The sequence below is a fragment of the Homo sapiens genome, chromosome 3 (genome assembly GCF_000001405.40).
Source record: "Homo sapiens chromosome 3, GRCh38.p14 Primary Assembly".
NCBI lineage: Eukaryota > Metazoa > Chordata > Mammalia > Primates > Hominidae > Homo > Homo sapiens.
The window spans coordinates 154,957,304-154,970,473 of NC_000003.12; the positions used below are offsets into that span (position 1 = coordinate 154,957,304).

The following is a 13,170-nucleotide window of genomic DNA, read 5'->3' on the forward strand; positions in this document are numbered from 1 at the left end:
TGAAATAGCTAGAATATAGAATCAAAAATAGTTGGTGGCTGCTGGTAAAAGGAGAAAGATAGTGAAATTAAAATTATACTGACCAGAGATCCATGATTAATTGAATCCTGTTTTTGGGACTTACCTCTCCACATGGTTCCCAGAAAAAAATATAGACACAGAAAAAAAAGCAAAGTAAAATTGACCCATTTTTTTTCTATCTGAAGAATTTGACTCAAAAACCAATAGAGATGTGTATTAGTCCATTCCCACACTGCTATAAAGAGCTACCTGAGACAGGGTAATTTATGAAGAAAAGAAGATTAATTGACTCAATGTTCCACAGCCTGTACAGTAGGCATGGGTACGGAGGCCTCAGGAAACTTATGATTATGGTGGAAGGTGAAGGGGAAGCAAGCATGTCTTACATGATGGGAGCAGGAGAGAGAGACAGCAAAGGGGGAAGTGCTACACAGTTTTAAACAACCAGATCTCATGAGAACTTATTATCACAAGAACAGCAAGGGGGATGTTTGCCCCCATGAGCCAATCACTTCCCACCAGGTCCTTTCCCCAACACTGGGGATTACAATTCAACTACATGAGATTTGGGTGGGGACATAGAGTCAAACCATATCATTCTGCTCCTGGCCCCTCCCAAATCTCATGTCCTTTTCACATTTCAAAACACAATCATGCCTTCTCAACAGTCCCCCAAAGTCATATCTCATTCCAGCATTAACTCAAAAGTCCAAGTCCAAAGTCTCATCTGAGACAAGGCAAGTCCCTTCTGCCTATGAGCCTGTAAAATCAAAAAGAAGTTAGTTACTTCCGAGATACAATGTGCATACATGCATAGGGTAAATGCCGCCATTCCAAAAGGGAGAAATAGGCCAAAACAAAGATGCTATAGGTCCCATGCAAGTCTGAAACCCAGCAGGACAGTCATAAAATCTTAAAGTTCCAAAATTATCTCCTTTGACTCATTGTCTCACATCCAGGCCACAGTGATGCAAAGGGTGGGCTCCCAAGGCCTTGTGCATCTCTGCTTCATTGACTCTGCAGGGTATAGCCTTCATGGCTGCTTTCACAGGCTGGCATTGAGTGACTGCAGTTTTTCCAGGTGCACAGCACAAGCTGTCAGTGGATCTACTATCCTGGGGTCTAGAGGATGGCAGCTTTCTCAAAGCTCCACTAGGCAGTGCCTCAGTGGGGACTCTGTGTGGGGGCTCCAACCCCACATTTCCCCTCCACACTGCCCTGGTAGAGGTTCTCCATAAGGGCTCCACCCTTGCAGCAGATTTCTGCCTGGTCATCCAGGCATTTTCATACATCTTCTGAAATCTAGGCAGAGGCTCCCAAAGCTCAATTTTTGTCTTCTGCACAGCCGCAGGCCCAACACCACATAGAAGCTGCCAAGGCTTGGGGTTTGCACCCTCTGAAGCAACAGTCCAAGCTGTACCTTGGCCCCTTTTAGCTACGGCTGGAGCTGAAGCAGCCACAATGCAGGGCGCCATGTCCAGAGCCTGCCCAGAGCAGCGAGACCCTGAGCCTGGCCCATGAAACCATTTTTTTTTTTTTTGCCTCCTAGGCCTCCAGGGCTGTGATGGCAGAGGCTACCATGAAGGTCTCTGAAATGTCTTGAGGCATTTTCCCCATTTTTTTGGCTATTAACATTCTGTTCTTCTTTACTTGAATCCACCCCCGGAAAATGGGTTTTCTTTCCTCCCAAATGGTCAGGTTGCAAATTTTTCAAACTTTCCCTCATCTTCTTGTCTTCTTCTGAGCCTTCCAAACTGTTTCAACCTCTGCCCATTACCCAGTTCCAAAGTTGCTTCCACATTTTCAGGTATCTTTCTAGCAATGCCTCACTTCTCTGGTACCAGTTTTCAGTGTTCATCTGCTCTCACGCTGCTATAAAGAACTACTTGAGACTGGGTAATTTATGAAGAAAAGAGGTTTAATTGACTCACAGTTCTGCAGGCTGTACAGGAAGCATGGCTTGGAGGTCTCAGGAAACTTACAATCATGGCAGAAGGTGAAAGGGAAGCAAGCATGTCTTACTATGACCAGAGCAGGAGAGAGAGAGTGAAGGGGGAAGTGCTACATACTTTTAAACAACCAGATCTTGTGAAAACTCATTCACTATCACAAGAACAGTAAGGAGGAAATCTGCCCCCATGATCCAATCACTTCCCACCAGGTCCCTCCTCCAACATTGGGAATTAAAATTCGACATGAGATTTGGGTGGGGCACAGTGCCAAACCATATCAAGAGGTCTTATGAATTATCTGTTTTCAAAAGAAGTTTCTTTTGCTAGGCAAATTCAATCTTAAAAATCGACAAGAAAAGCAGAATGAAAGATCTGTCTAGTCCACCCAAAAATACAAATCTTTCTTCAAAATGCAGAAAGTTCACACCTATGGGATGGGATGGGAGAAGGGAGGAAAAGAAGGAAAGAGAAGAAAGAGGAAAGGCATGGGAGTGTAAAGGAGAGGACAGAAGATGAGACAAATGAATGCTGTATGGGGGATCTTCCAGGGAGCCTACAGTCCTGAGGGAAGAATGCATCCTCGAAAGACTTTACCGCTGTACACTGGCCTCACAAGGCCAATGCTAAATATATGCTCCTGAACCTAAGCAACTTTTGGCAATATTTCTCCTACAAGGGAGTACACAAGGGAATGCTCTTCAACTTTCCTTTGGGAGGAAAATGTGGGGAGAAGGAAACTATTTGGCTTCAGCTTCCATCTCCTCATCAGCTGTGAAACATTAGATATGAGAGATGAAAAAAGGGAAAAGGTAAAGAATGACTCCCAAGTCACATATTGGGGACTTGGGAATTCAGAGTTTTATTTGGACTGGATGCAGACATTTGGGTATACCAATTTCAGCACCAACTTCAGCATAGTTGATAGCTGATGTTGCATGTATGAAGAAAACTACCTGTGGAGGGTATGCAAAGTGAGAAGAGAAGAAAGTCAATAACAGAACCTTGGAAAATATTAACACTTAAGCAGCAAGTAGGAAAAGAGGAGCTCATCGAGTTGACTCAAAAGATTGGCTGGCAATTTGTAAGTAGAAAATCACAAAGGGACATGGATGTATAAAACATCCAGGAGGAAGAAAGTTCCAAAAATAAGACCATGCTCAAAATAGTCGAATGCAGCTGAGAGTAAAAGTAAGATTAAAGACTGAAATGAATATTGGCCTTAGCAATGATCATGGGTGATGCATTAGTTTCAGGAGTCAATAGAAAGTGAGATTAAGATTGTGGGTAACTATTGTTTTATTGCATAGAGAAGGAGGAAGGACAGAGATATTGGAACATGTGTGAGTTAAGAGATAGTTTTTTTTATTTAAAGAGATTTGAGATGTATCTACCTGCTGAGGGGAAGAATTCACTGGAGTGGTTGAAGATACATAAAGGGGGAGAAACTCAGCACAGTAATAGCCCAATATATACAGAATAAATGAGATGAAGGACATGTTGAATTAAGAATCTCTTGTAAGGTAGAGAGAAGTAGAACCTGATCAGTGAAAAAGGTTAGGAGTTGTGGGTTTTCAAGTGGATAGCTGTTTCTTTCTCTGTCAAGCAAGGGACAGCCATCAGTTACCTGTTCTGGGAAAGATAAGGAAGGGGCATGGGGTAGAATGGATTGGAGGATTGGAGGACAGTGATGAATATAATATCATACTCTACACATATAATTTTTATTTTATAAAGAATGTGACAAACTAGTGGTAAAAAAAAGCATAACTAAAAAATAAACAAAAAAATACAAGTATTTAAATGGAAGATGATCTAGCAATATTTAACTTCATATATAGAAGATAAACAATTTGGGAAACACACAAGAGCAAGAACTGCAATGCATTTATTCTGCATTTATTGAATAACTTTGCCAGGTCCTCCAGAAAGTAATAAGGGATCCTATGCTAGCTCAGAATATGGCAAGGAAGAGACCCAAACAAATCATTGTAAGAAAAGCTAACCACAATGGAGACACACATGATGCTCTGGAAGGAGATATGCAAACACTCCTTCCAGAAGGGAAGAAATGAATCAGTCAGAGAAGATTTCAAGAAACAAGCAGCATTTGAGCTGAGATTCGAAGATAGAAAGAAGTTCATTAGGAAGCTGGGGCCTGGGTCAGAAAGGGCATTCCAAGAAATGGAACAAATATGGAGAGGTGCAGAAAAGTATCCAGAAGAATTGAATCCAATGGACAGACAAGGAGGCTTCATCTCTCTACAGCTGCATAAGTAAAAATAAGAGGCTGAGCATGGTGGCTCATACTTGTAATCTCAGCACTTTGGGAGGCTGAGGAGGGAGGATCACTTGACCTCAGGAGTTGGAGACCAGCCTCGGCAATATAGTGAGACCTTATCTCTACTAAGAACAAAATAAAATAGAAAATTAGCTGGGTATGGTGGTTCATGCCTCTGGTCTCAGCTACTGAGGAAGCGGGAGGATAGCTTGAACCAAGGAGGTTGAGGCTACAGTGATCACGCCAGTGCACTCCAGCCTGGGTGACAGAGCAAGACCCTGTCTCAATAAATACATAAATAAATAAATAAATAAATAAATAAATAAAGGAGTGTCATGCTTTACCAACTAAGCTTGCCAGGCACTTAAATAATCCTTGTGTCCCTATAAAGCTCTCCAACTCCTCATACACATTATGGGTAAGAAAATTGGAGCAAGAAAATTAGGGCTTTTTCCTCCTCCACTATCTCATAAATACTTGGTAACATTTCTCCACCATCCCCAAGTTCTTGCTAGGTAATTTGATAAATACATTTACCCAGATAAGTCACAGTTTAATCATTGCTTTGCATTCTGCCCTCGTACTTCTAGACACAAAGCCTTTCTAAGAGAGAAAGTTTAGGCCCTGAGGAGGAAGAAAAGGAAAGTAAATGGAAAAGGGTGTCTCTCAGCATTTCTCCTCAAATCATATGTCACATCATTTACTCTTTTTATACCTTAATGCTGGTCCTGAATAAATGAAAAGGTTGCATTGTGTCCTGAATTTTAAAAAGTAACGTAATATATAATCCATTCACCACATTAATTCAGGTGCAACCTTGGACAAATTGCTTTGAACAATTTCAGCCACTAGGCAAGTTTAACTGCAAAATGCTCCATTCTCTGTGAGGTAAACCTCTGGGAAATATAGTGAATTTGAAATTGTAAGAATAATTCAAATGTGTATAAAAAAGATAGAACAAAAATATGCTTTCTAAAAAATTGGTTAAAAATGCTATCCAAGTTCAATTTGAAGTACTATTATTCTAATCTTTCTATTAAAAGATAAAACATGAGAGAAAACATTACATACTTTATAACCTTTGCTGATGCGTAGAAATGCAATTTATTTTTTAAAGAACACAAACACTACTACAATTCTTGAAAATACCAAGCTTTGAAATCATCTTAGTTAAAAATAAAGTTTTGGGAGGGGACTGCCTAGGGATGCAAAGAAAAGTATGGAATTTTGCATTTCTTTAAGTAATTTTAAAATCTATTTTATAATGCCCTCACTTGTCAGAGCTAGCAGCAAACAACACTAGCTTTGTCCTTGGTTCCACTTATAAAGGTGAGGGGACAGATGCCAGCAAAATTTTAAAACCTCAAATCATGTTTTTCTCAGAATATGAAAGGGAAGTTTGACTATATCACATGGTTTCAGGTGACACTAAATGAGTTCCACTGCATTTTGTTTTTCACTCATAAAGCCCAAGGTATGCTGAGGGGTCTAAAAATAGGAACAATAAGATCCATGGGACAACCCACAGCACACCTGGATCATTTGTTCTCTTCAAAAACCACAATCTCTCTGTATCTCTGTCTCAGTTTCCATCTCTGTCTCTCCCTTGTGCTCTCCCTCTCTCTCTCACACACACACACGAGTTCCAGAACTCATGTTATGGTTTTTAAACCCATAGTGTTTTAAATTTCTTTTTATTTTTAAATGTTAATATTATTAATTTTTTTCCAGCCACAAAGTAGATAACATTTTCAGAGTCTTCCCAGTCCTCATCAGAAGGACCAGTCAAGATGACTGAGTACTATTACTATTATTCCCTTATTACTACTGTAATAAGAGAATTATGCCTTATTCCCTTACATCTCTGTTAAAATGAAAAAATACACAGTGCACACACATAAATATTCTTTAAAAATTGATATGTAAATCAATAGCGCTTGATAAGGAAAAAGCTTTTTGGCATAGATCTCAATTTCCTAGACAAAACGGCAAGGCGACATAAAAATCTCAATGCAGACTTTTTACTAAGTCGGAATTTATGATCACTCAAAATAAAATTGAGCCAAAGTGTATCTAATCGTGTACAATTATTACAAAGTTGTTTTTCTAGGCATGTAAATTCCTTTTAGATATTTTCATCTATGAGAATGCATAAAATTAGAAAGCGCTGTTAGACAGCATTCCCCTCTCCATCCCACTCCCCAAGCCTGGTTCCCTTTTTATTCATTTCCTCCGCCTCCTTAGGCAAGAATCTTAGAAGCATCCTAGATAAAAGATTGCTGGTGCCTACTCTCAATGACTCTTTGCAAAGCCACCTCACCCCAAGACATGGCCCCACATCCGTCTACCCTTTCCAGACAGTTACACATGCCCATATTTCCAAAGCAGTTTATACTTTCTTTTCTCTTATCATTTATCTATTCTCATTGTCATTATGTGTCATTACTCCTTCACCCTCCATCTTCTTTCTCTCCCTGGAATACAGGGTATTTCTTTTGGACTCCAGATCTTTTTACCACCTGGAATGCTCTTCTTCCAGATCATCACATGACCTGATCCTTCTTATCATTCAAGTCTCATTGGTGTTGTCACCCAATAAGAAATGCCTCCTCTGAACGCCCTGTTCCTTTACCCTGATTTCTTAGTATTTTTACTGATACTATGTCATTTGCTTGTTTACTTGATTATTATCTATCTTCTCCCTCTCCCCTGTCCCTGCTACCACCACTAAAACGTAAGCTCCTTAGCGCTTAAGAACAGTGGCGGGGGCATGATAGAAACTCAATGTACATTCTTGGAATGAATTAATGAAAAATGAATGCTTATCTCCCCTACTAGACAGTGGATTTCTGCAGGGCAGGGGCCATGCCTCATTCATTTTCTTTGTGTCTAACATTTTGGGTAAAGGGAAATCTAGTAGGGTTCAATAAATGGTCACTAAATAAATGATCTATTAATCACAGAATAAATAATTAATAATAATATTTTTATTATACATACAGGAAAATGTTGAGCTTAAAGAGATTATCTGCCTAGATTTGGTTAGACAGTTTTAGAAAGGGCAACAAAGGCAGGACAGCTGCAGGGACTCAGATTTAGGGAGTGGATTTGAGTCTCTTAAACTTTCATTGTCTGTTTCAAGTTGAAAGAGGTGAAGTGATTTACCCATGGTGTTTAAAAGTAATAAAATTATATCTTTTTAAAACAAAATGTATTTAATTCTTTGCAACACTACAGGCTAGCCTTCTTTTCAAGGCCACAAAAATTGTGGCTTTTATATGCTGTGAGGCTCAGAAAGGTTGCCAAGTATTCAACTCTAAAGCTTGAGGTCCTCAAAGAGAATGGGCAGTTTAGTGCAGAGGCCAAAGCCAGGAGAGCTGGATAGACAATCTATCACAGCCCTGTCATATCACCGGGGGACCGAGACTCTCTAGGGAAAAAGGGTTGCTGCCCTTGGGAAGAACTCTTTAGTTATATTGATTATATTTACCAAACCAAATATTGTGACATGCAATCTAAGCAGATCTGTGTACAATACATAGAATGTTTGAATCTAATGCCAACTTAGAAAATCTGGGGCTAACATTTGCAATATTCATAGGAGAACAAATTAGTTTGCATACTCTTCCATAGTTGAGTGAAGTGTCCCACAAAACTTCTCATCCTTTCCAACACTATTTGATTTTATTGATTCCAAATTTTAGTTCAGTTTTGAGGTGTCTTAATACTCCTCAAAGGATCCTCATATTTTGAATTTGTTCTGATATCTAGGAGATATTATCTTAGAGATGGATTATGAACGTATCTACTTTGAGTTTCATTAGGGCTGAATCACAGTTTCAGAGGAGAAAAAGCCAGAAGGTTCTTCTCAACTCTGAGATTCTATGGTTCTGTGATTCAATCCTTTGGAGCCTAATGACCCCAGTTTGAACTGATATACACTGGTAGGTGAAGTGATAGGACAGAGGAATGGATGCTGGAAACTGATGACAGAAGTCTGAAGTCCTCCTATGACACTTGGCCTCATGAAATGGAAAAGACTTCTACTTTCTTACCTCAAAAGTCTGCTAGAGAAGTTAGCTACTGTGTATGGGTAATTGCCCCCACTCTGGACTCTAAACCTCTACCTAGGCCACACCCTATTTCTAGAAAACTGTTATCATCACCAGATCATCAAGGTTATCTCCTTTCTTCCCTTACACAGTCTTTAGAATCCACTCCCACCATGTTGCCTCTCCTAAGCAACAAGAGGGCAAGTAGCATACCTGCCCTGGGTTTTGTGTCCTAGGTAAATTACTTATTTACTCTGCATATACATGGTCTCAATGAGCAAAGATGTGTTGTGTCCAGTTTCTATTTCTGAGCATGTAATTGAAAACATATCAAACTGGGCCTCAGCAAAATTTGGAGGTGGAAAGTATGGGTCAAATTGGTCACATTTTCTGGGTGAGAGGACCATGAGCTAAGTTACATTAAAAGGCCTGGTAATCAGTTTCAAGGCATTCAACATTCAATAGAGAAACTGCAAGAAAGTGGGGAAAGTCATACATATTTTAAAAATTACCTTTATCTTTTACTCAGACAACCCCTAAATTGTCAACCAACTAAATATACTATACATTGAAACACACTTGATACTCAAAGTGTGGCCCATGGACCAGCAGCATCTCTCAGGAGATTGTCAAAGTGCAGAATCTTCCCTTGAGCCCAGGAGTTCAAGGTAACAGTGAGCCATGATCATGCCACTGTACTCCAGCCTGGACAACAGAGCAAGACTCTGTTTCAAAAAAAAAAAAGCAGAATCTTGAGCACCACCCAGGACCTACTGGATCTGAATCTGTATCTTCAAAAGATACCTAAGTGATTGGTATGTGACTTAAATCTTGTAAAAGACCTTCCAAGACCAGCAATCCTCAAAGTGTGCTCTCCAGACTAGAAGCATCAATTGGCATCAACTGAAAACTTATTAAAAATGCAGAACCATGTGCCCATTCCAGACCTACTCAGTCTAAAATTTTGGAGTAAGGACCAGTAATCTGTGAATCTGTGTTTGGTTTTTTTGGTTTTTTTGTTTGTTTGTTTGTTTGTTTGTTTGTTTGTTTTTTAGACAGAGTCTGTCTCTGTCATCCTGGCTGGAATGCAGTGGCACAATCTTAACTCACTGCAACCTCCGCCCACCGGGTTCAAGTGATTCTCCTGCCTCCACCTCCCCAGTAGCTGGGACTACAGGCGCCCGCCACCGCACGTGGCTAATTTTTGTATTTTTAGTAGAGACGGGGTTTCGCCATGTTGGTCATGCTGGTCTCGAACTCCTGACCTGGGCCTTCCAAAGTGCTAGGATTCCAGGTGTGAGCCACAGCACCTGGCCTCAGTAATCCGTGTTTTAACATACCCTCAGTGATTCTGATATATCCTCAATTTGGAGAATTTCTGCCTCTGGCCTTTTTCAATTTATATTAAAGAAGAACCATCTTTTGACAAAAGTTAATTTAATTCTAAATGTTTCAAGTGACTAAGAGAAAAATATACCTGTCTGGACAATTTTTAAAATATTGTGACAATGCCCACCAGTATTTTCCAAAGATATATCCTTATGATTTTATTTATGCACTAGTCAGAATTGATGAATGTGTATGTTGAATACCATTTGCTAATTCATCTGGCATCTGGCAAAACCATATCACATTAATATGATGGATGATCCTGCTTCTTTGGAATGAGAAAACTTCCACATGGAGGCACAGTAATTATTCCTGAAGGAATGAACATAATGTAAACTGTCATTATGGGTAAGTTTTGTGGGCAAAGGATGCCCAGGAGAAAGGCATTATGTTAAGCCTTTATTCTCAGCAATGGTGCTCTGCAGCCTTGCTCCCACTTAAAGTCATTATCAGAGCTGCCTAGACCTTTCTGCCCTTTGTGGCTTTGGGCTTCATTTAGCGGGTTATGGGATGTTTCAAACCTCTACTTAACGCATTTGAAATATTTTCTACTTTGAAACTTTTTCTCCCTTGAAAGGCAAGGTAGCTATTAGCATCAAGAAGAAACCAAAATGAGCACAACAAATACACAAGTGTCTTTCACAAATGTAGCTTTGCCCAGATGAATTTTTAAAGGTATTTTATGAAGAATGTTAAAATACATGAAGTTATTTTCTAAGTCAACCCACCTAGCAATTTTATTTCTAGAAATGTATATTAAAATATATCCCCAGATGAATATATAGACATATGTACAAGAACATTCATTACAGCATAGATTGCTGAAAACAAGCAAAATGTCCACAGTCACAAGGAGTAACCAACCAGAGCAAGTTCCCCTGGGGAGGCCTCTGGTGTGTGCCAGGAACCAGCTCTTTAGTTTCCAGATTATGAGAGAAACAAGTGTATCAGTCTCCTAGGGATGCCATAATCAAATACTGCAGACTGGGTGGCTTAAACAACAGAAATTTATTTTCTCACAGTTCTGGAGGTTAGAAGTCCAAGACCAAGGTGTCCACAGGTTTGATCTCCCCTCAGGACTCCCTCCTCGGCTTGCAGACAGCTGCCTTCTGACTGTATCCTCTTACGACCCTTCCTCTGTTGGTACACATCCCTGGTGTCTCTTCCTCTTCTTATAAGGATATCAGTCATATTGGATTAGGATATGTCCCTAACGGCCTCATTTTAACCTCTTTAAGACCTATCTCCAAATATGTTCACATTCTGAGGTCTTGGGGAATGGAATTTTAACATACAAAATTTGGGGATACCATTCAATCCACAACAACCAGTCAGTCTTAGAGAGTAGCTGGGTCATAGAGGGTTATTTACTAAATGGTTCAGAAGTACTTTAATATTTTCAAAACTGGTACAGTTTTCAGTAAGTAGTGGCTGATTATTAACCCTGGCATGGGCTCTGAAACAATTGTAAAAACATGTGAAAAACCTTAAAGGTTAGAGGAGCCCCTTCAGGGACCTCCAAGATTGAAGATTGAGGCTAAGTAGGTGGGCTCGGAGACTATTTCTGGAATTTAGTTGTTTTACATCTAATAGACCAAATAATGTGCTGTGGTTATAAATATAGGATTTGGAATCAGAAAGAGTTTGCATTTCTGTTTCCTACCTGTAAAATAAAAATGATAATAGTACCTATCCCTAAGATTGTAAGCAATAAGATAATGATATAAAATGTTGATGATATGCCAGACTCAAAGTAGATACTCAATAAACAAGACATTATTGTACCTTTATATAAGCTTACTTTTCTAAATAGTCTTACACACATGCAAACACACAAACACACACACACACACAGTGTTCCTTATAACAAACTGTACTAGGCCTCTAAAGACACTTTTAGTTCTAGAACTCTTATTCTAAGTGATACTTGGCCACAAGTGATTCACAATAAAGGATTGAAATTTTTAAACACATTTATTGCTTTTATTATAAAAATAAATTGTGCTTTCCTACTGTATGGGAATTCTACTTTTAGCAGTCACATTGCTTGATTTAACTGGCAAGTATTAAAATAACAGTGTAGTGCTCACCTGATAAAACATTGTAACTTCTGTTAGATTACTTTTTATATGGTTATATTAGTAAACTGCCATTTATGTATTACAAATTGAATTAAGTAATATGTAATCATTAGAATAATGAAATATGTATTTTGCGTACCAATATGGAATAAACTTAAAGATGTATTAGTGATGAAAGCAAAGTACACAGAAATACTCAAGAGTATATGTTTTTTAAAAATAGGTTTTTATATTGTTTAAATTTTTACCATGTGTATGAATTACCTTTTGAAAAAAATAGATTTTCTCTCACAGTAAAATATAAAAGGAGAGAACAGATGCTCAAGATTCCATTTTCAAACAGAAATCGCAATCAACAGCACCAGTAGCAGCTGCTATTTATCTGTATTTGATAAGAGCAAAGCAACAGATAAAAATGAAAAATAAACTAAATGAAAAAGGCATCTACAGAGATCAAATTCCAGGCGACTCCCTTCCCACTTGCCTTTGTTGTAAGTTCCAGAATAGTTTCTCAGCACTAAGAAATTCTCTGATTTAATGGAAACAACAAAGGATGTGGCATCAGACTGAGCTGGGTTCCAATTCTACTCTTCTGACTTTCTAGCTCTGCAAACACAGAAAAATCCTTTTACCCTCTGAACCTCATTTTCATCAGCACACAAGCATCAAAATGTCTGTCCTTCCACCACTTAGAGTGGTTTTGAGGCTTAACTGAAATTACATGTATACAAGTGCAAGGCAAACAATATAGACCAATATGCACCTTTATCTCATTCATAAATTTCTATTTAGCTTGTGGGATACAGATACACATTCATTAATTCATTCAACAATAACAAATAGACCCTTCTAAATACTGGAACTAAAATAGATAGCAGAACACATTCATTCTCTGCCCTTTTGAAGCATAGACTCTCGTAGAAAGATAGAAGACAGAACAGACATCCATCACATTAAATTGTGGCAAATGCTATGATACAGATAGATAGGATACCCTAGAAATGCATATAAGGCACATATACTCACCAAAGATGTCTGGGAAGGCTTCTGGAGGAAGTCATGTTCAAGTGAGGCCTGATGAAAGAGTAGGAGTTCACTAAGTGACCCAGGGGAATGTCGTAGGCTTCCCACTGGCTTGGCTGACCCCTGAAAGATAAAACCTGACAGGTGAACAGTGCAAGTTGAGGGCTCTCAAAGCAGCTCCCCTTGCATTTGACTTGTTACAGCCAATCTCTTCCATTCCTCTCATGAAAGTAGTTGTTGGACACAATTAAGAAATGTGACAACGGCAGCTCAGAGAAAAGAAGTTGAAGGTCACATAGCTACTGAGTGGCAAAGCCAAGATTTTGATTGTCCCAAACATTTGAAACACTCAACTGATGGAATTTTTTATTTTT

General features: G+C 39.0%; 1 long non-coding RNA gene across 2 annotated transcripts in view; it reads right to left on the reverse strand.

Annotated features, from left to right (window-relative positions):
• The window catches only part of LOC105374171 (uncharacterized), a 71,200-nt gene extending 58,238 nt beyond the window's left edge, over positions 1 to 12,962 (reverse strand). Inside the window, exons 1-2 of one of the 2 annotated variants that reach the window (XR_001740569.2) lie at positions 12,800 to 12,962; positions 11,648 to 12,379 (exon numbers count right to left, since the gene is read on the reverse strand). This is a non-coding gene — a long non-coding RNA (uncharacterized LOC105374171). Of the gene's footprint in view, positions 1 to 11,647; positions 12,380 to 12,799 lie in introns of those variants that run through there. The other variant, XR_001740568.2, reaches the window with a different exon arrangement.
• Positions 12,963 to 13,170: the final 208 nt, after the last annotated feature.